The sequence below is a fragment of the Homo sapiens genome, chromosome 7 (assembly GCF_000001405.40).
Source record: "Homo sapiens chromosome 7, GRCh38.p14 Primary Assembly".
Classification (NCBI taxonomy): domain Eukaryota; kingdom Metazoa; phylum Chordata; class Mammalia; order Primates; family Hominidae; genus Homo; species Homo sapiens.
The window spans coordinates 22,181,001-22,202,558 of record NC_000007.14 but is presented as its reverse complement, the minus strand read 5'-3'; the positions used below and the strand labels follow the sequence as shown (position 1 = coordinate 22,202,558).

General features: G+C 39.9%; 1 protein-coding gene across 9 annotated transcripts in view, besides 1 other annotated feature; it reads left to right on the top strand.

Annotated features, from left to right (window-relative positions):
- The window catches only part of RAPGEF5 (Rap guanine nucleotide exchange factor 5), a 238,919-nt gene that overhangs the window by 154,596 nt on the left and 62,765 nt on the right, over nucleotides 1-21,558 (top strand). For 5 of the 9 annotated variants that reach the window (NM_012294.5, XM_017012837.3, XM_047421084.1 and 2 more), the window contains 2 exons: nucleotides 8,526-8,644; nucleotides 9,104-9,192. In NM_012294.5, the coding sequence (NP_036426.4) occupies nucleotides 8,526-8,644; nucleotides 9,104-9,192 (208 nt within the window). Of the gene's footprint in view, nucleotides 1-7,748; nucleotides 7,990-8,525; nucleotides 8,645-8,813; nucleotides 9,193-10,916; nucleotides 11,031-21,558 lie in introns of those variants that run through there. The other 4 variants (NM_001367600.2, NM_001367601.1, NM_001367603.1 and 1 more) reach the window with 2 other exon arrangements.
- Nucleotides 17,081-17,979: an enhancer, noted in NCBI's record as "OCT4-NANOG-H3K4me1 hESC enhancer chr7:22224198-22225096 (GRCh37/hg19 assembly coordinates)". NCBI's record gives its function as "activates a minimal SCP1, AML or CMV promoter by ChIP-STARR-seq in naive H9 embryonic stem cells {active_cell/tissue: H9 hESC(naive)}" and the evidence as "EXISTENCE:reporter gene assay evidence [ECO:0000049][PMID:30033119]".

Genomic DNA, 21,558 nt, shown 5'->3' with positions numbered 1-21,558 from the left:
GATTGAACTGTTGTTGGGGTGGCAGGGGACTGTGCTGGGCCTTTATCATCTTTTTTAGTGCCTAAAAGTCCCAGAAGATGCATAATACCCTTATTTCTTAGATAATGCTTTGGAATTTGGGGAGTGTATTTTTATTCTCCCAGCAAAACAGCTATTGGATGGCTGCCAGGATTTGGCTGTAGATAAGGCAAGCCCTGTAACCCATGTCCTCTCAGTATAGGTTGAGGCCTTGTCTGCAGCTGTGAACTCAGCCATTCTTTGAGGACAGGCCTCTTCCTGGGTGAAAACTGGCTCCAAAGACCCTGGAGTCAGAATCAAGCTCCATTTCTGCGTCAGAGTGCTATGCCCATTACTCAGACTTAGCCTAGATCTGACTTTAAGCTTTGGTTCCCAGCTACAGTGGACTAGATTTTGTCCTTTTGTTCTGCAGACTTCAAGCTTGAATTTTCCTTTTCTACCCAAGCCTACCCCTCGGACTTAGTTCCTCTGAGACTGAACCTCTGCCTCTTTGCCTTTGCTGACCTCTCTGTCCTTGACCTTGAGCCATTCTGATTTACAGTGTCTGTCCACTTATCCATCATTTGCCAGGCCATGCATTCATTTAACAGACATTGTTCTGGATGTAAAACCAAACCAAACCAGCCACTGTTCTCATGCAGCTGTCATCAGAGTGGAACTGACCCTGCCATTTCTCCTCCCTCTTCTACCCTCCATCCCACTCCCAAACCTGGTCATCAGCCAAGAACTTTTATATTGGAACTAGAAGCCTGCTGGAAAATATTTAATAAAATTTAAGCTTTTATGATAAACAGTAACACCTGTGTGATTGACTAGCCACTCTCAAAGGTCACATGGGAAGTGCAGAGTGTGAAGCAAGCTGTAGAAGCTAAATTACAGTAAACTGATATAGGCACTAGACAAGAAAGACTGTTAAGACCATAAAGCATGTAGAAATTGGATTCGGTCAAGTAGGAAAATGCTAACACACCCTACCCTAAAGCTTTTAGATTTTTTCTTTGAGTTGTTTTCTGGACAGCAGGAAGAAGAAATACATGACCAATATGGTGTAGTCTAAATTAATGAAAACTTAACACAAGCGTCTCTGGAAACTGTGAAATGTGAAGCATGCTGGGCTGTCTCTATTTGCATCCCTTTCTCCATTCTCACATCTGCCCTGTGCTGGGACAGCGAGTCCTCACCACACACTGTGGAATGCATCACCCTGGATTTATTGTCCTCCTGCTCTGAATGGGATGCAGCCAGTGGGAAGCATCGGCAAGAGATCAGAGGGTGGAAGGAGAGAAAGGTCATGATATTCCTCCTACCTCTGTCTGGCTTCCTTCTGTAGTTCTGGCAGTGACTGCAGCTCCTCATTGGTAGCTTCTCATTTATGCCTCCAGCTCCCAAAGGGATCCAATACTTACTTTTTACCTCCCCTTACCCCTTCCAGCCCAGGGCTAGTTAAGATCTCCCTCTTTTCTAGTCCTGGTTATCTCTCACCATTTTTGCTCAGTTTCATCAAACCTACCTACACAGCTGTAAATAGCCCCTTCATTAAACACTTTCACAACCCTTGCTGAGTGTGCATTTTCCTGCCAGTATCCAGAATGATCTGTCAAGCTAATACAGCATGTTGAAATATATTCATAATAAAAAGACATTGACTTTATATTTCAAGATGCTACAGTCTATCCCATCTTTTCTGCCCTATTGTGCAGTAGGTTACTAGCTGAAGTTGGCCCTGGGATCAAATTCCTAGGCTTGCTCTGGTTTTAGGGTTATTAGACAAGTTGTTTTGTATGATGATATTCTTAGAGGCAATGAGATTGAATACATACAGTTTTTCTCTAGTAGCCAGAAGCTTTCTGTTTAGTCATGCATATTGGTTTTCTGTTGGAGTTTGGTCAAGTTCCGTAATAAATATATGTTTATTTTCATATCTATAAAAGTCAGACTTTACCTAGATTTTATAAATGATGATGAATCCTATTAATCTTGTTTGGGCTTTCATTAGAGTTATTAATCTTAATATGTGTGGGATTAAAAAAAGGAAAGAACTAATTGTCGTTATCTAAATACTCTCCTTCTGCCAGAGTATCGTGTACAAAGACATATTTGTTAGGCCAGCTCCTTTGTGGTCGGGTGAGTCTAAGTGGCTCACCTTGACATACATCTGCTAACTTAATCTCTCTCTTAATCATTTCTATCTTGCCAGCAATATTCTTTTGACCTTTTTAAAAAACATCTGTTTACTTTTTTTTTCATGAGAAAAAGAATCATGAGATACATTGTCAGCAAATTATCTAAGGGTTGTTCTCGAATAAAATTCTTTTTGGCCAGAGGAGATTTTTTTTTTCAGATAAGTCTTATAATTCTGCTGTACCCACATTTGTATAACAGACACAGATGTGGGCATTGATGGCTTGGTCAGCTAGGCTTTATGTGAATTTCCATAGTACAAGATGGGAAGAGATACCTAACTGCTAAATCATGTGCCCTCTTCCTATTTAGGAGAGCCAACACTTTGGGCTTCTGTGAGAAAAGTGGAATCAAGATTAGTTTTGTAGAATCTTTGTGTTGGAAAGGGTGCAGAGCATAGCCCTGACTCTTGATCCAGAATCGTCTTCATTTGTTCTATGATATTGTTGATACACTCCGCTTCAGCTTGAGAGAGAGCTGGGTCCATCTCTGCTGTTAGCACTTCTTTAAATTGGTCCCCAGTCAGCCACTTTTATCTCATCACCCACTAGTGGAAAGTCGCCTTTCTAGAATGTCATGAGTAATTCCAGGGCTTCCTCTCCCACAGGGTAGAGTGGCTCAGAAAGTGGAAATAATCTGCTGCTATTTATCCTCCTGAACTCTTCTTTCTCGGACCTTCCAGCTACCTGAACTGTACCTCTCAGGACATATTTCTCAGAGCCCTTTGTGGCTCCCTGGGGCAGATTCATGTGTCCCCTGGCCAACAAATCTGTGTCCACAGACTCATCTCTGCTCAGTTCCTTTTTTTTTTTTTTTTTTTTTTTTTTTCAATTTTAAGGTAAAACTTACATAACATAAAATTAGCCATTTTAAAGTCTATAATTCATGTCTACCCAGTTCTTGAGCCCATCAGGCCCGAGGCAGCTTATATACTGGGAGCCCCATCTCCACCAGCCTTAACCTGCATGTCTCTGTGTTCCAAGTTGCATAGACATAGGTGCCCACAAATACAGCCTTCCTCTAAAGCCGGTCCCTGCCGTGTTTAGCTCTCTTCCTGCCTTGGTCACTGATTCGGGTCTGGTTGGCACTTCATTTTCCCCTTGCTGGGTCTTGAGTGCTGCCTGATCTGAGCTGGTTGAGCTGTGGTCATACCACTGCATTCAGCTCCTGTCAACTCTCTTCCTCTCTTAGAATGAAAGCCCTTGTATGGCTTTCCCAAACCAGACAGGCCATCCAGAACTAAAAACCGGCTATGCTAGAACTTTTGACTCTCACTTTGGCCTAGACCTCCCTGTTGCCTGACCAACCAACAGATTGCCCTGCACTGTCAGTCAGCACGAGGGAAAGTGACATCTCCTTTGATAGCTGTCATCTAGAATATAGAGCATTGGCCATCTTAGGGGACATCTGTGGTTCTGGTTAAGGGCACTGGTGTCGAGCCTGTCTGGGTTCAATCTCAGCTTCGCCATCTGTCTGCTCTGTGATCTTTCTTATTTAATCTCTGGGCTCCTGTCTCCATTTGTAAAATGGGAATTTTCATAGCATTAGTCTCATAGGATCATTATAGTGATTAGGTAAAGTAGTGGATCTTCAGCCCTTAGCTTTGCCTGCTGTATGGTAAGCCCTCAGTAAGTGTTAGTTGTCATAGGTTTATCTGCCTGGTTGTGGCTGATTCCTCCCCAGTTGCCCATTCCTGGTGGTTCTGTTTGTTGCATATGGCAGTGTTGTCTCCTTAGTTCTTGAGTTGTCATTACCTCTACCATTATGGAATAAAATTATATTAGGTATTAATGGTCCAGTAACTAATAATTGCATGATGTTTTACACTTCACAAAATACTTATATTATCTTAAGTAGTGGCCAAGGCTCGGTGCTATCTCACATGAGCTACTCTCAAGCTAAGACCCTGAATTAAAGCAGGTCTTCTGATCTGATGTATATGTAACTCCTTGCCTAGCTTTGACATTGTCCAGTGTAACAAGCATGCCAGCTGTTCTTCTCAGGTTAGCCCAGTCTATTTGCCTCAGCTAAGCTGATGGTCAGGATGCAAAGCAGGGCAGGCCAGTGCCCTGTGGAGTTTGATGAACACCAGCAGAGTTTGACGATCCCTCCTTAGGAAGAGCGCCTCTCAGCAAAATGTCCCTTCTCTCTGGGCTGTATCACAATTCACCAATTGAAATGTATTCTTAGAGATTTAAGGTGTTCTTTGGGAGACTGAGGTGGGCAGATTGCTTGAGCTCAGAAGTTCAAGACCAGCCTAGGCAACATGGTAAAACCCTGTCTCTACAAAATAAAATAAAAAATTAGCTGGGCCTGGTGGTGTGTGCCTGTAGTCCCAGGTACTCAGGAGGCTGAGATGGGAGGATCACTTGAGCCCAAGATGCAGAGGTGGCAGTGAGTGGAGATTGTGCTCCTGCACTCCAGCCTGGGTGACAGAGTGAGAATGTCCTCCTACCACCCCCCCCCAAAAAAAAAGAAAAAAGAGATTTAATGTGTTGCTCTCTAAACCTCCACTTTAAAATGCAAATGCATTCATTCATCTTTTGTTTATAAACGTATTCAGTAAATGTTAATTGAGTGTCTGTGAAATGTCAAGACCTGGCTAACTATTGGGAATTCAAAGTCAAAGAAGATAGGGTACTTGCCCATGAGTGAGCTTGGGCAAGGCGGGGACAGAAAGTGCATCAGTAAGTGCTCCTGAGAGTGCTGAATTATAAGGATACATGTGGTGCTGTGAAGTCACACAGAAGGGCCAACAAGATCAAACTGAAGACCAGGGGGCTTCCTGGAGGAGGTGATTCTTGAAGTGAACTTTGTGGGATAAATAAGAGTTAGGCCAAGAAAGTTGTGAGATGAAAAGAAGTATAACAAGCCATTGGCTACAAATGCCTTCCTATCAGTTAACATCTTCAGTTAATGTGTTCACAGACCTAAGGGCAAACAGCATTGGAACTCGTGTTACTTGTATGACTTCTTGAGTGTCGTAGTGTCAAGCTAGATGATTTTCAACGTTTGCCATCTGAAAGGTTCTCTCTACTGCCTGTTTCAGACAGGTTTGATTTGGGAGGAATGGGTCTCTTCAAGCTGACTTATTTCCTTTAGAATGAAATTTCCAAGATGTAGTCTTCTCTTCCTCCTTGTTCACTCACAGTTTAACACATTTTCCCCACTCCTGACCTAAAGTGACCTCATCATCACTTTTTCTTAGACTTACCATCTTTGTAAATGTTACAGTGTCAGGCAGGCTTTCTCCTGGGGTCTCCTGATACAGCGCTCTCCTGGCTCTCCTCCTGGCTCATCTTGGTAGTGGTCTTCATGTTCTCTCTGTACGTAGGTTCCCCCATGACTCGAATATTCTCCCACTTTACTTCTTCCCCTTAGTGTGATTTTAGCTCCTTTAATCCCCAATGTTCATAGTTCTGCCTCTTTACTGTTCCTCCTTAACAATCTCATCCATTACCAAAGCTTAAATAATTCATAAATTTGTCTCTACCCTTGACCTTTGTCCAGAGGCCTAGTTCTTTATTTCTAACTGCTTGCTAAACGTCTGTGGCAGGCAGGCTGTCTTAGTACGAAACATCAGCGTTTAAAATCAGAAGCATCTGTCTCACCAAAGCCGCTCCTTCATACACATTCTCCCCTGTTTAATGGTATTTCCATTCTCACAGTCACCCATAGTTATCTTTGATTGTCAGATCCCATGGATTCTACTTTTGCATTGTCTCTTGCATTTGGCCACATCTTAGGGTGCTGACCCAGTTATACTTATGTTGTCATGGAGCCTATTAACTTGTCAGTTAAGAGCAGGGTACTTGCCTCACTCATTTTCACTTGCCGCTTGGTGTCCAGAACAGTGCCTTACGCAAAGGGAGCAAGCCCTCACTATTTGTTGAATGAATGTCAATTAAGTGTTTTAATACTTTACCTGCATTTCATGAACTATTTGTCATTGAATATATTTTCTGTTATTAATTCTCTTAATACTTTTAATCTTAACCAATCAAGCACAAGAATAAAATTTCATACCCAGAACCTCAACTATGGTACTTCTGTTCCTTCTCAGGATGAGAAATTAGTTAAGCATGCAGGGGTCAGGAAACATTAATTTACCTTTCCTTCTTGAGAGCCAGATGTAATTCGTAGGATTATTACATTTTTATGGCAATTTTAGATAACATATTTCCCTTTGTACATTAATTTTTCTGCTTTTTCTCTTCTTTATTTTTAATAGGTCTTCAAAATGGAAAACTATCACAATGACATAGATGCTATTGATAGTACATCAATATGATTCAGCTCTTCCCCTGCCTGGCAGAGTGTGGCTGCTGTGTGCACAGCCATGTAATACATATTAGTTACACAGGCATTAGAGAAGCCCTTCCCATCCATATGTATGTGCATGGCCTGTGGAAGTTAATAATGCCATATATCACATGCACATAGAATGTAAAACGTACTTCAGAATGACAGCAAGCTCATATAAAATGAGTATTGGCGCATGATTAAAGGAAACCAGGGAAAGATTTTTGTCCTTTCAGAGAACAGAATTATTTGTTTGTTCTGTGTGTCTCAGCATCCCAGACCCTCATTCTGCCTTTTTGTTTTTTTGTTTTTTGTTTTTCGTTTTTTGGGGGGTTTTTTTGGTCAATATATGCACTTCTCTCCAGCCACCTTATTTCACTTCAGCCACATAGATAACAAAGGAACCCCTTTGGAGAAATGAAAGATAGCAATTACACATTGGTATTCATGTTACGGGAGTCCCACTGTCGTCCTCAGGGAGTTTCACAATGAATATCCAGCATTAATTGCCACAGTAACTGCACGCGTCTGACCTTGCTGAAATGTAATACATCGGTTTTACATAGTGAAATTATTTACCACTAAAAGATTAAAAAAGAATGATCATAAAATTATATTGCTGTTTAGAATGACAAATATTTTTCGTTTTTAAGAAAATCCTGGAGGACTTAAATTATTAGCTTATTGCATTTTCTTAGGAATCAGAATACCAGGAGGTAAAGTCACAATTGTTATCAGTGATTTGGCTGGCAATTAGGGCAAGATTAGTGCCTTCCTCTTCTTATGAAAGGTGAATCAAATACATTGACATCCCTGATTAGCCTGTAGAACCAATTAATAAGGCACAATGGATATTTTTTTCTCTGTTGGGGGTGGGGATATCCTCTTTCATGTTTGTACCTGACCGTAGGTAGGTAGGATTTTCTGTAAGTAGGGGAAACGTGCTAGGAGCCCTAAGCACATAGTGCCTTTTTTAAAGAGGTGACATCATCTTTAAGGTGAAACCTACTTACTGTCAACTTTTCTTCCTTTAATCTTTTGCTCCAATCCTCAGAAATAGGGAAGCTAGATTTTCGGACATGCATCTTATAGTTCCTTTCTCCCGGGCTACCGTACGCTTACTGGGTATTGCACATCAGGAGAATTTCACACTAAACACTCTGGAAGTGTTCATGGCTCCGAGTTGGAGGCCACCCTGCTGGGTCAGCAGCAAGCTGTCCTCTGTGACAGAGCCACGTCAGCGGGCCACACTCACTCTGGGCTGTGGAAGCTGTGTGTGCAGAAATGAATCTGTGTGTTCAGCCATCTCTCCTTTTTAAAAAGGGACTGAGGTGAAGAAAGTCTGTGCAGTCATCCATGGCATCCGAATTTCAGCCTAGATGAGATTCTAACTAGAGATCCATTTTTGCTTATATTCTGGCAAAACTAGTACATTATAAATTTGAAGGCCATCTCAAGTCTGAAAAAAAAATTGAATTGAATGATGGAGTGGGTAGTTTTTTTTTTCTTGCCGCCTTTTAAAGTAAGGGTGTAAAGTAAATGAATATATGTATTGATTGCAACTACTGAATAGGGCTTACTCATTGTCTTAATGTTTCAATAATGTATATTTTGTATGATTCAACTTTAATAGAGTGTTTAATAAACATCTACCAGGTAAAAGAGAATATAGTATACATGCAATTAGTATGTTGTGCTTTTTGAAACTTTGAACTTTGTAGTCCCTAAATTGTTTAGGTAGTTTTAAAAATAAACTCTGAATTCCACCTCCACTTTGTTTTCTATTTCCTTTAAAGTATTTATGTCTGTCTAATGTTTTAAGTTTTCATAGCACTTGAGCCTGGATACTTTAATATTAGAGGGAGATTTTTGACCAGACTCCTAATTTATTCTCAATCTTTGAAGAGATGATACTGTAAAGCAACTCTAGAAAATACAGCTTGAGTTAGCTCCATTTTCCCCCCACTTTTAATTTTCTCTCTCTTTTTCCTTCTCTCATCCATCATCCCTGTCCACAATTAAAGCAAGATGATGAAGTGACGACTGTTCAGGTTAAAGAGCAAGACCAGAGCGTCCTGGTGCTGAAGAAAGTGCAGTGCTGTGGCCCAGCCCCCACAGCTGGGAGTGCGGAGAGCCATTGGAGGTGAGAGTTTCCCTGCAGCCACAGAGGCACGCGCTCCCGTTTCCTTTTCCCTGCCTGCCTTCCCTTCCCTTGCTCCATCTCACTCGCTCTCTGCCTCCTCTACCCTCCCTCCCTCTCTTTTCTCTCCGCCTCTCCAGCGTTCTAGCTGACTGCAGAGCTCTTAGCAGCCAGATGGACTCAGTTCCCAGTGAAAGGACAGGGATGGCAAGATCTTTTAGCATTTAGGGGATGCCTTTGTTAGTAACCGTTCACAATGGGCAGCTCCCGGCTGAGGGTCTTTGACCCTCATTTGGAGAGGAAAGATTCCGCCGCGGCGCTCTCAGACCGAGAGCTGCCCTTGCCTACCTTCGATGTGCCTTATTTCAAATACATCGACGAGGAGGATGAGGACGATGAATGGAGCAGCCGCTCGCAGTCTTCCACCGAGGATGACTCAGTGGACTCTCTGCTCTCTGACAGATATGTGGTGGTGTCCGGGACCCCGGAGAAGATTTTGGAGCACCTTTTGAATGACTTGCACCTGGAAGAAGTCCAGGACAAAGAAACAGGTAAGGCTCTGAGTAGCTCATGCTTCCAGACTGATAGCAGCTGATGCCCTTGTCAGTACCCTCAGGGGCAAGGTTCCCACTGTTAGCTGAAACCGGGGTGGGGAGAAATAGCATATGCTTTGTGCGACTCGTCCCTTGCCTTGTGCTGATTTGTTTAAATCCAATAAATGGACACATGTAGATCCCAAGCAGCTCCCTGGGAAGTAGCTGTACAAAGAAAATGATATGAAGGCAGCTGTTCTTGTTTCTTTGGCAATTTTTCCCAAATCTCACCTAAAGGCAGTTGGCAAGAGACCAACATTCAATAGCCCATGTTCAATGGAAAGAAATACAAGGAGGAGGAGGGTTAGCAGGCGTTCACCTGGCATGTAGGCAGTGCTGAGCTGGGGGCAGCAGCCTCCGTGCTGAAATGTCAACAATTAATGCAACTACTCAGCAGCTACATGCTTAGTGGCAACTTCTGCCTTTTTCCAAGTGGTTTACAAACTGCCTGGTCAGAACAAGCCCCGAGGTGCAGACTATGATACTCACAGCTTTTCAGAGCAGAAACTGTAATGCACTAAAGCCTTATCGATCAGACTTCTTGTATTTTAAATTTAATCTGAGAGTAAAACACTCATTTTGCTTTTTCACCCATACACTTTTGGAAACACTACTGTTCCACTTACAAAATGACTTACCTGTAACTTCCTTTATCTCAGAAGGGAGAGTACTTGCTTCTCTTAACCAGAATTTGTAATTTGTTCCATGCTGGAGCAGTTATTCCAATGAATAGGCCTCTGACTGTAGCCTGCATTTTGCAACTTGATCCCTTAACTAAAATGCACTGTTTGCTCCTACCATAGCACCTGTGAGACCCACAGTTTCCTTAGGTTTTTACCATGCAAGAAGGATTGTGAAATGACAGCTTAGGTGGGAACAAGAATTTCCTTGTGTCCCTGGAGTTTTGTCTGAACATAGGTGATGTCTGGGTCTATTTTGCATTCTAAAGGACAATAAGAGAAACAAGTATGTGTGAAATACATAAGTGGGCAAAAAAACAGTATCAAAATGACCTAATCATGTATCCTACAGTAAAGTTATTGTGTAATTTTAAAATTCAGATAGATACCTTATTTTGCATATGTTTGAAGACAAAATCAGTAGTTGTCATTTATATGCACTAAATAAACAGCTAAAAGAAAAACATATTCTCTTGGCATTTGCTAGGTTGATTTTGTATGTCTGTAGATTAATATTTTGTGCATTTGAGCACTATTCCCATGTTCTGCTTCATCAAATGTAATCATCATGGAAGGTGGGTCTAATTTTCAGTCTACTGATTACCAGACTGCTTTACACAGGTGTTTTGAACTAGAATACAGACAAATTATCTGTCATGGAAAAGACACTTTAGTAGAGGTTTAGAAAGATTGAATACTTCCTTCTTCTTAATAACACTACAGTTCTATAGTGCAAGACTTTGTGTCTGGGTCACATTAGTAAGCAGGGAAATTATTATAACCTGCCCAGGCCTAGCTTCATTTCATTTTCTTTTTAATTGTCATTAGTTTGTGTTCTCTTTACTTTTGAGAAAATGGCTCAGGTGCTCACAGGTTCCCACTACTTAACACTGAGAATGACAAATCACCCTTATTATTGTTGCTAATGTCAGAATTTGCCTGCTATTGGGAAATATAGTGGTTTGCATCCTGTCTAGTGACTTATTCTTGCTTTCTTCTCAGTTATACCAACCCCTGGGATCACATGTGTCACTTCTGCCATGTGCTCACAAAGCCAAGCGGACCAGGACTTCATGGCTTGACTCTCCTAGCACCAACCTAAGTGGGGAAGAAGGGGTTGGTTGGGGTCACCTCACCTAATTCCTGCTCATTTCCTTAGAGTTTGGGGGAGGGACACAAATGAAACTTTAGAGTTTTGCAGAGACATCTGAGTGGCAAAATGGTAACAACTTTCACCAAAGAAAGATTTTATGAAAATGGAAAAGTCAACTTTGGAGAAAATGATTAATGTGTATATAAAAGAGATGCCTAAGTGGAAGTCAGTGTAGCTCTTCCAAACTTCAAGAACGGCACTTGGAGAAAACACAACAGAAAATCCACCATGTGGTTTCTGTTAATAAGATTATAAGAAATATAATAAATATAAAATAAATGTCATGTGCAAATTGAAGAAAAGGAGATATTAATAGCTCGAATACTAAGCAAATCAGATATTCAAAGTAACAGGACCCCTTGTCGCTGACAAAGGTGAATTCTAGTTCTTTATCTCGGTCAGGTAAGCAACCCTCATTATCAAAGGCCCGGGTGTGCAGGAGCTGAAGAGAGTTGCATAAACCATATGGAGGACAGATGGAGGAAAATGAGAAGGGGCTGCAATAAAAGTACACAGCAGCATTTTTATGTTCTTGAGCGCCCCTTTTACGGAGATGGAGCCATCTGGGGCCGCGTGTAGCCATATGGTGGCCCTCCACATGGCCTAATAGCAGTGAGGAGGAGAGGGTCCATGGGAGAAAAGGAATGGTCCTGGAGGCTGGGATGAGCCTGTTCTGGATTCTTACATTTTTGGACCCATCAGAGGCTGGGGAAGATAACTGAACAAGAGATGTGAGTAATTTCTCATCGCTTTCCCACAAAAGTCACTAATTTGTGAAAATGTAGGTGCAGGACCCAATAGAGGAGGCCCTCTGTGCTCCCACAGGACAAGTGGAAGTGATTACTGATTGATGTTAACATACAAATAGATAACGTTTACTCCATTGAATATAGCCGGGAGGAGAATGCCAGGGCTATTAAGATAAGGCATTTCTGTTGTTACTGGACTCAAGAATAGAATAGGAAACAACTAAATTCATATAGTATTCTATCAGCAAATCAAGCTTTTTAAAGGAAAAATAATTCTAGAGATGCTTAAAAGCAACCTACTAATGATTTTCTTAAATGAGTTGACTCGCACACACCTACTATGTATACTATTTTCATAATCCCTCAAGTACGTATCTTTCCTCCTTTGTAGTGAAAGGCGCAAGAAGTCATCCAGTATGATATCTATGGAATGAAGGAATGCATGAGTGAATGAGTGAATTTCTTTCTTTTGAGACGGAGTGTCTGTCTGTCACCCAGGCTGGAGTATGATCTTGGCTCACTGCAACCTCTGACTCTCGGGTTCAAGCGATTCTCCTGCCTCAGCCTCCAGAGTAGCTGGGATTACAGGGGCCCACCACCACGCCCGGCTAATTTTTGTATTTTTGGTAGGGACAGAGTTTCACCATGTTGGTCAGGCTGGTCTCGAACTCCTGATCTCGTGATCCACCTGCCTCGGCCTCCTAAAGTGCTGGGATTACATGCGTGAGCCACTCTGCCTAGCCGAGTGAATTTCCTAAACTTTTAAAGAGAAGATCAATGGGAAGTGCTGATAAGGAACAAGCAAACCAACCAGGCATTTGGGTCTTTATTTGCAGCCAGTTTTGAAATGTTCATTCATCTGTGACAAGCTCCCTTTTTGTTTACTAAGTTAGCAATAACACTCCCTGAGAGCAAGCAGCAATGAAATTCATTGTCATCTAAATTTTTCAACATTTCTTCTTTTGTCTGATAGTTCTTCATTGTTTAAAGTAGGAAAACTATGAGTCTGGTAACTAGATATTTGTGAACCTGGACAGTGATTGAAGCTGTTTTCAAAGATTTCCTTTTTTTTTTCCAAGGTTCAGGTTTTGACTTGAAATATTTTGAAATGTTAGAGGAAAATCAAATTGTTTCTGGAGCTTTATCTTTTCCCAGAAATTGGGCAAACATCACTGGGCATGAGGTTTACATGAGAGAATTACGAGGAAGGTAAGAAAGAAAAAAAACAAGGAGCTGTGAGTTAGAGGAGTTGAAGGGATGGGGGAGCAGGTTTGGGCCCAGCCAGTCCTGCTCTGTGGTGGTCCTGCTGGTGACTGTAGCTAGTTAACCCTTTCTCCTCCCTAGAGAGGATAAAGTGTGTTTTGCTTACAGATACTTCTGTAGTGAACGATGATTTCTGTTTCAAAGCAGGGGGAAAACTGTGGATTACATGGAGAAACCCCTTCTTACTGATTTTTCTTTCTGAATCTGTGTTACGACAGGTCTACCTTAGGGAAAACATAGGAAATATGTTATTTCCCATTTCCTTATTCATCTTTTTGAAGAAAATGTACTTATGATTACAAGTTTCCAAGAAAAAAAAAAGCCAACAGAGAATAGAATAGTAGGAATAGGTAAAGCCTACCAGCTGATTCTCATTAGGCCTGACCTGATTTCTTTTAGGTATGGCTGCTTTTTTTTTTTTTTTTTTAATTTCATGAGGTTATCATTCAGTATATTCTGTTAGCATGCCTCTGTGTGGACGTGTCTACACAGCTTGCCTTGATTCTTTCAGAGATACCTCAGTGTTGGGGAGCTGGCGTTTAGCAACACATAGTAGGTTGAGCATGTGATTGAAAAAGTGAGTTCGTTACTGTTCTAAAGAGGAAACAACCTCTGTGAAAGTGCCTGTTTTATATTATAGGAGTGTCTCACTCAACTGATAGAGTCCAGAAGCTCTTGATGGTCAACCTAGTGACTTTTTTTTTTTTTTTTTTTTGAGACGGAGTCTCACTCTGTCACCAGGCTGGAGTGCAGTGGCGCGATCTCGGCTCACTGCAACCTCCACCTCCCAAGTTCAAGCGATTCTCCTGCCTTAGCCTCCCAAGTAGCTGGGACTACGGATGCGCACCACCATGCCCAGCTAATTTTTTGTATTTTCAGTAGAGACAGGGTTTCACCATGTTGGCCAGGATGGTCTCAATCTCTTGACCTCGTGATCCACCCACCTTGGCCTCCCAAAGTGCTGGGATTACAGATGTGAGCCACTGCGCCCGGCTGTGATGTTTTTTAAGCATTGCACTGATAAAACATTAAGTAAAGTGAGGGCAGGCACCTCATTTTCTATTAACTTTTTAATCTTGTCTCCTGCCAACACCAAGCTCATGATAATCCCTTGATATTTAATTATGTAATTTTCATGGAGGAAAATTAAGAATATCTTTCTTCTTCCCCTTGGAAAGATAGAAGACAACGTAAGTGAACTTCTTCCTTGCTTACCTTGCCTTTTAGCATTCCTGGAATGATCCTGGGTGCCTTTCTTCCAGGCTTTTTCTCCCAGGTTGCCAGACCATAATAACCCCGTAGCAGCATGGCTTTTGCTGTACTAAAAATGTTTGAGGGTAGGTAAATATTTAGATGGCGGTAAGTCTTTTCATGATTTTGTACAATTGATATGCACATGACATTATCTTGTATTTATATCTTTTTATTTCTGTAAGGTCATGTAATAAACAGACCAGTGTAGCTTATCTGTAGCTGCACATTAGCAGCACCTGTGATGCTTTTAACAAAACAGCAATGTCCAGAGATCCTAATTCAGTTGGGCTGAGTTGGGGCCTAGGCCTTAAGGTCTTTAAAAGTTCCCCAGGTGATGCAATCCGCAGCCAAGTTGAAAGACACTGAAATAGAACATTGTCTTACTTCCATATTTTGAAAGACCAATTCTAGGTTTCTATTGGTTATAGATATACAGAGAGTTAGGAACAACGTTCCCCCTTTACAACCCCTCTGACAGGACTGTATGTCCAGCCTCATGTCCGCTGGCCCCTGTCCTGGAGTTCTGCAGCTTGAGAAGTTCATAACTGACAAACCTACACTGCCAGTCCTTCCATTAAAGTGGTTTTGGATAAAAGGACACCATCAGAGGGAACAGAGGTACTGGACACACAAAATGTTTGGTTTCTCATCTCTTGGAATGAGAAGGTGGGACTATAGTGAAAAGCCATTTGGATTTTTGTGTGGGTTCTGTCACATGACACAAATTCCTGGATGGTCCTTAGGTTTCACAGCCAAGAATGCTTCTGAGAGAAATAATGTTTTACGAAAGGAGAAAATGCATATAGCAGAGTAGAAAGGTTACTAAAATGAGATTCTAAAGTCTTGAGTACCGAATCTGGGCTCCATTAAAAAAACAGCCTGAGACTTTGAGCAAGTAATAAATGAAATGATCTCTAAAGTATCTTTCATCACTAAAACCCTTTGATTCAAAGGGATCTATATTTTCTTTCCTTGCAAAATATGTTACAGAACCATAGAATTTTAGGTGGGAGGGAGACCTGAGAATTGGTGTAGATGACCTCCAAAGTCAATTTATGCTGAAAACACCATCACATAGCCCTTGCACGAGGGCTTAGGAAATTTGGTCTAACTTCATGTTACTGCTACATTTCTTCAGCCTCGTAGAGCTGTTAGAATGTTAACGGGGTATTAAGCTTAGAATCCAAGGCTCAGTGGCCATACCTGGTGATGATTTAAGTGTGTTTTTATATAACCTTGTCCAATGGGAAACTTTTTAAGTTCCTTTGAGAAATTATGCCATAACATTTCTAAAGAATAGCTTTGATTTATCACTCTACTACTAAATTCCATTTGCAGAATTTTATTACCAAGCCATTTTGGGATATTCAGAAATAGTGTTGCAGGAGAAAAGCAGCAATTTTCCCTCAGTGGTGAAATATACTACATCATATCTCTTCTACTAGCCATTTCCTGGCAATTCCTTAACTTTTAGCTTTATACACTGCTTCTATAAAAAATGTAACTGTGAATTTTAGTTATTGAGTTTCTGAATACCTTAGAAAAATTTAGTTCCTTTATTTATTTAATTCCTTTAAATATCTTTGACCTCCAAATGCATAGGCACTGTTCTAAATGCCAGGGATACAAAATAGACACAAAACTCCTTACCCTCCTGAAGGCTTATATTCTATTGGAGGGAATCAGACAATAAAATAAGTAGGAAAATATTGTATATTAGATGATGGGTTGCTAAATAACCAATATCATTATAGGCACTAATTTGGGATAACTATATCCATGTCTTTAAAAATAAAAAAGCTGGAGGATCTTTTAATGTATTTAAAGTATTTTAAGAATTAATGTGAAACTTCTGGTCAAATGCAACGAAGTTCAGAATCAAAAGAAATACACTTAATTGAAATTTTAAAAATAACATAAAAGAAATTTGAAGTATGCATAGGTATCCCCAGTTGGTAAATCACTATTGTTAGAACCCATAGAATCTGCATTTGTGGAAATGTTTGATAAGGATATCAGCCTTTTACCATCTTAAACTGTGAAAATCGCTTTATCCAAGGCAAGTAACTGGACTGGGCTGCTACTTAGTCTTTTTCAGCTTTAAGAAACTGTCACTTCAAAATCTTAGATTAAGCACTTTGGGAGGCCAAGGTGGGCAGATGACTTGAGGTCAGGAGTTCGAGACCAGCCTGGCCAACATGGTAAAACCCCGCCTCTACTAAAAATACAAAAATTAGCCAGAAGTGGTGGCACTGAGGCATGAGAATTGCTTGAATGCTAGAGGGGGAGGTTTCAGTGAGCTGAGATCGCACCACTGCAGTCCAGCTTGGGCAACAGAGTAAGACTCTATCTCAAAAAAAAAAAAATTAGATTAATTTGTTTGCATACATGCTAATAAAAAAAAATCAGTGAGAGACTGAATTCATTAGCACAAACTCCAGCTGCCCTGGGTGTGCCTCAGATGCAGATGAAGAGTACCACTGTTTGGTAAGGGCTTGTTTTTCCAGATAAAGCAAAGACTTGAAACAGCTGTCCACAGTGACAGTACAAATCCCCAAAATGGTGTCAAGAGAGAAAAAGTGCTCAAGTTAGAATATGATTTCTGTTCTACTTTATAATGTGTGTGCTGTGGTTTTTGTTTTGTTTTGGTTTGGTTTGGATTTTGGTAGTTCCTTGAGCTTCTCTCCTAATTACTAGCATGGAGAATATAATGTACGGTATTTGTTGACCATAATTGAAGCATTGGAAGGCTTTATAAATTAGTGTTGACAAAGTGATGAGATAATTAGAATTGTGTAGAAATTTTCTCAGTTGTTTCACTTATAAAAGCAGAGGCTTTAGGCCAGATGACATTTGAGGACCCTTCTAGCTATGAGAACCAGGTTCAAAGATTACTCCAGACACCAGTTTATTTATTCAAACCTTGTCCCATTAGATGGATCCTTTTGCAAGATAATTATCCCCATTTAATGGACATAGAAGCCAAGGTAGAAGTTAATTCAGTTGCTTAGTGATTGAGCCACCATTTGAATCGGGAAATGAGCCCAAATATATTCCGAGTTGTATCCCGAAGATTATTTTTGCTAGAGACTGGAATCATGGATGAAAGGCATAATTGAAGTAAAAATCTACATTCAACTCAAGCTATAAGCCCCAAATCAGGTGCTTCAGTACCCACTTAAGAGCGTTCTAATCTCCAGCACAAAGACCTGCTTCTTGGATTCCAGCTGTGAGCAGAATGGCCACTGGATGAGCTAACTGCTTCAAAAAGGTTGAGAGAGAGAGAGGAGAGAGAAAGAGAGAGAGGTCCTAGTTCCAGCTGACACTGTATCAGACTACTCACATGAGAAGTGATTAAAAATTAAATTTTGACTGTGGATTTCATTTGAGGTGCTCATCTTCTGGGTTAATCTATTCTCACCACCTTTGAACATGCAATAGTATGTATGATAACAAGGGAACTGATGCTTTTACACTGCCAGTAGATTGTGGGTTAATTAATACCCTTGTTGTTAATGAAGCAAGGTGAAGTGAAGTGAGACCCAGCTGAAGCATAAGATCATTAACATACACTGATTAATAACGGAAAAATGTGGAAGTTTTCATTACAACACAACCAATGGGCAAAGGAAGATATTTAATGGATAGGGATATGTTTAATAGGAGTATAGCATACCTTTCAGGGAAACAATCTCGATTTAGAATGAGAATGGATCATTGGAATGCATTTTTTAATTGCATCATTTTCATGTTTGTACCACATTTGAGCTGTAGTTTATTATCTGAATTTTAATTTTACAAACAATTTCAGCATGAAAGGTTATGCAAATGTTACAGTTTTCCAAATAAGAAAGTATTCAGAAAAATGTAGAGTAGTTTATTCAATGATTACCTAATATTTCTAGTGAACTATGTGGAGAGATGAATACTTTCATTAAACTTTTAATTTTATGATTTGCTTTCATCCTCCACCCTTGTTTATTCTGTGTCCACTGTTAGAATTTACTACGATAAATGCATAGGAATGTATATGTATATTTATTTATAAACTAGAAAATAAGACATTGGGTAATTAACTTGTAATATTTAACTAAAGGGAAACTACAGTTGGCTTCGCAGATGTGGCTTTTGCCACAAAAGGTTGACCATTTTACAGTAGACTTTGTAAACGGAAAGTTCAAGTGGAAGTCTAGAGCATGCCAGAAACAAACCAAAGTATTATAGGGTTCTAGGAAATTAATTTCAGGAGGATCTGAAGATAGGAAATGGAAAAAGGAGTACATGAGGGGGAAAGAATGACCTTAGAAATTAGATCCTTAGCTTCCAGACTATAAGAATTATGGAAAACTTGGGCATCTTAACAGTTTATGGACTTTCTTCTTTAAATACTTTGAAGGAAAATGTTAACCACTTTCTGACAGGTTAGAGTGGAGGTTTTGTCCTAGAGGCTGAAGGTGAGATAATCTGGAGGTTCCTGCACACGGTGTTCTATCTAAATGACATATGCATGTGACTGCTTATTTCCTCGAAGTCAGTTTCAGTGCTGACCTCAACCCCTGAACCCCGGTTTTCCTGTGTAAACTGCAGCCAGCATGGAAGATGGAGAAGTCAGTGGACTTTCTACTTTATTCATATTTGCATATGTTGTTTTCTTTTTATCCTTTATTTACATTAATTTGCTTCACCTGAAATACTTTACCTCAAATGCCCAACTTGATACTCATCTTTTTAGCTAGACTTCCATAGAGAACTTTGGTTCTTTCTTTGTAGTTAAGTAAATTTCTAATTTTCTAGAACAACTGGAGGATAAATTATTACAAGTAATAAAATATTCTGCTCCACTGAGAGTTGCCATAAGTATGTACACAAATTGTCAAGTTTCAGAGAATCAAATATATAAAATTACAATCTGTTTTCAAATATAAAAATCTTTTTTTTTTTTTTTTTTTTTTTTTTTGTGATGGAGTCTCACTCTGTTACCCAGGCTGGAGTGCAATGGCACCATCTCGACTCACTGCAACCTCCCCCTCCTGGGTTCAAGAGATTCTCCTACCTCAGCCTCTCGAGTAGCTGGGACTACAGGTGTGTGCCACCATGCCCAATTTTTGTATTTTTACTAGAGACAGGGTTTCACTATGTTGGCCAGACTGGTCTTGAGCTCCTGACCTCAGGTGATCCACCTGCCTCATCCTCCCAAAATGCTGGGATTATAGGCGTGAGCCACTGCTCCCAGCCTCAAATATAAAATCTAATAGCAAACTATGAGGACCTAATAATAGTCCTTGCTTTTATTGTTATATGGATAAGATATTGGCTTACATCTATATAATCTCTTTGACGTAGGATGAAGGCTGCATTTGAAACATAAATCCTCAATATAACTTGTTTTTTCTCATAAAAATAAATTTGAGACAGATAATACCTTGTTTAATATTCTCTTGATATCCTGTCTCCCTGACAGGGTGTACCCTTTAAAGAAGAAGGCTACATATATTACTTTTCTATTTCTTTGGAAAAATAATTTCTACAGCATCATTTCCCAGTTCAGTTAGTGCTAACTGGGGTTTCATTTCTTTTGAAAGGAAATTTCTGTTCTAAAACCTTTAAAAATGTGTAAATTGCCATATTTTCTCAGGAAGTTTCGTGTCTATTGGCATATTTAATATTGCGCTTTAGTAGAAACGCATGTGGTTTTGTTAGTGTCTGGCTGTATTTCCAGGAATTTGTTTAAATGTGTGATTTAAGTGGGGCATTTCTGGAGTAGCAAATTGAAGGGAACAAGAGATACTGAAATTCATGAAGACAAGATATTGTGTCAGTTGTGGGTTTGACAACCTAGTAATTTTAGCAAAATGATAGTTTCACTCTAACATCGGCAGCTGAAATTACTTGAAACTGTGTTTAAGACAGTGTCAACGGTTGAAAAACCTCTGTCTCCTTCTTTCTCTTTCTGTGTTTCTCTCTCTCAGAGATCTTGTGTCATCTCCCCAGACGGTTGTTGGATTTAAAGTGAGATAATCAGATGTCCTTGTCTGAATTTTAAAATGTTTATGACATCTTCCTCAAGTAAAATTTAGCATTCTATCAGAAAATGGGGGAACAAAGTGTTTTTTTGTGTAAGAGTGTGTACTTCAGATAGTCGTATAAAGTGTGAGGAAGGAGTATTAGTGGATGGCAATTTGTTGATTACAGTCACTGCATGTTAATCTCTCACAGCATGTTTCAATCAATTATTGCTTCATTGAAAGGGTGTAATGTCATAGAATTGCTCTGACAAGCCCACATCTAAAAGAGATATTCTTTGTGTGGGAGAATGTTTGCTTTTAACCTACCTATAATTGAGCTTCTCTTCATTTTTCCTATCAGCCTTTTGGCACTATAACCTTCCCCTCCCATTTCCCATTATCCTCATTTTCTGCCTCAGGCTTTCTTACTCTACAATTGAAACCTTTTCTTTCATTCAGTTTGCAGCTTTTTTGCCTTGTACTTAAGGCTGCTACTTGGCTGGCAGTCCTTCCCTTGAATCTCAAAAATAAATATGAAATTAGAGTTGTTAAATACGGGTGACAGAAACGTGGGAAACTAAACAACAACAACCAAAATCCCAGAACATCTTGTCATAATCTAAATAGTGACAGAAAATAATTTTCAGAACAATTCTGTAGCCTTTTCTGCTTCAGACTTGGACTTGGCGTTCTTGTCTGGCATTTAGGATATTTGGTGAATCTTCTGACTTTGAAATATTTTAATCCTTTAAATGAGCTTCATTTAGTGGGAACATGAAAAGTACAATTTAAAATTCTCCATTGCATACCTGGCTGGATATTGCTACCTAAATTCTCAGTCTAAAAACAAATATGGTTTTAGATGAATGAGTATATGTAAGCTTCTGCTATTTTTTTCTTATTATATCCCTTTCAATATTCTTCACCTGTTATGAAGAAGAATTTATGTAGTACTGACAGCAAGTAAGCTTTTTCCCCCTAAGTTTTCTTTGAGTCTTGCTTGATATCACATATTTTCTTTTGTGTAGCAGCTTACAGATTTTAAATTTACTGTCATGTCGTATGTTTTGTTAAGAAAAAAAGAGAGAGCAGAGTGATCTTTTCATCCTAATTTTGGTTCTAATTCTCAGAGTTGGATATATAAAATGTGACCTTTGATGTCTTGGTTCAGTTTGATCTGTATTTGAAGGCATTGCCAGCCATTTTCATTTACTGATGGC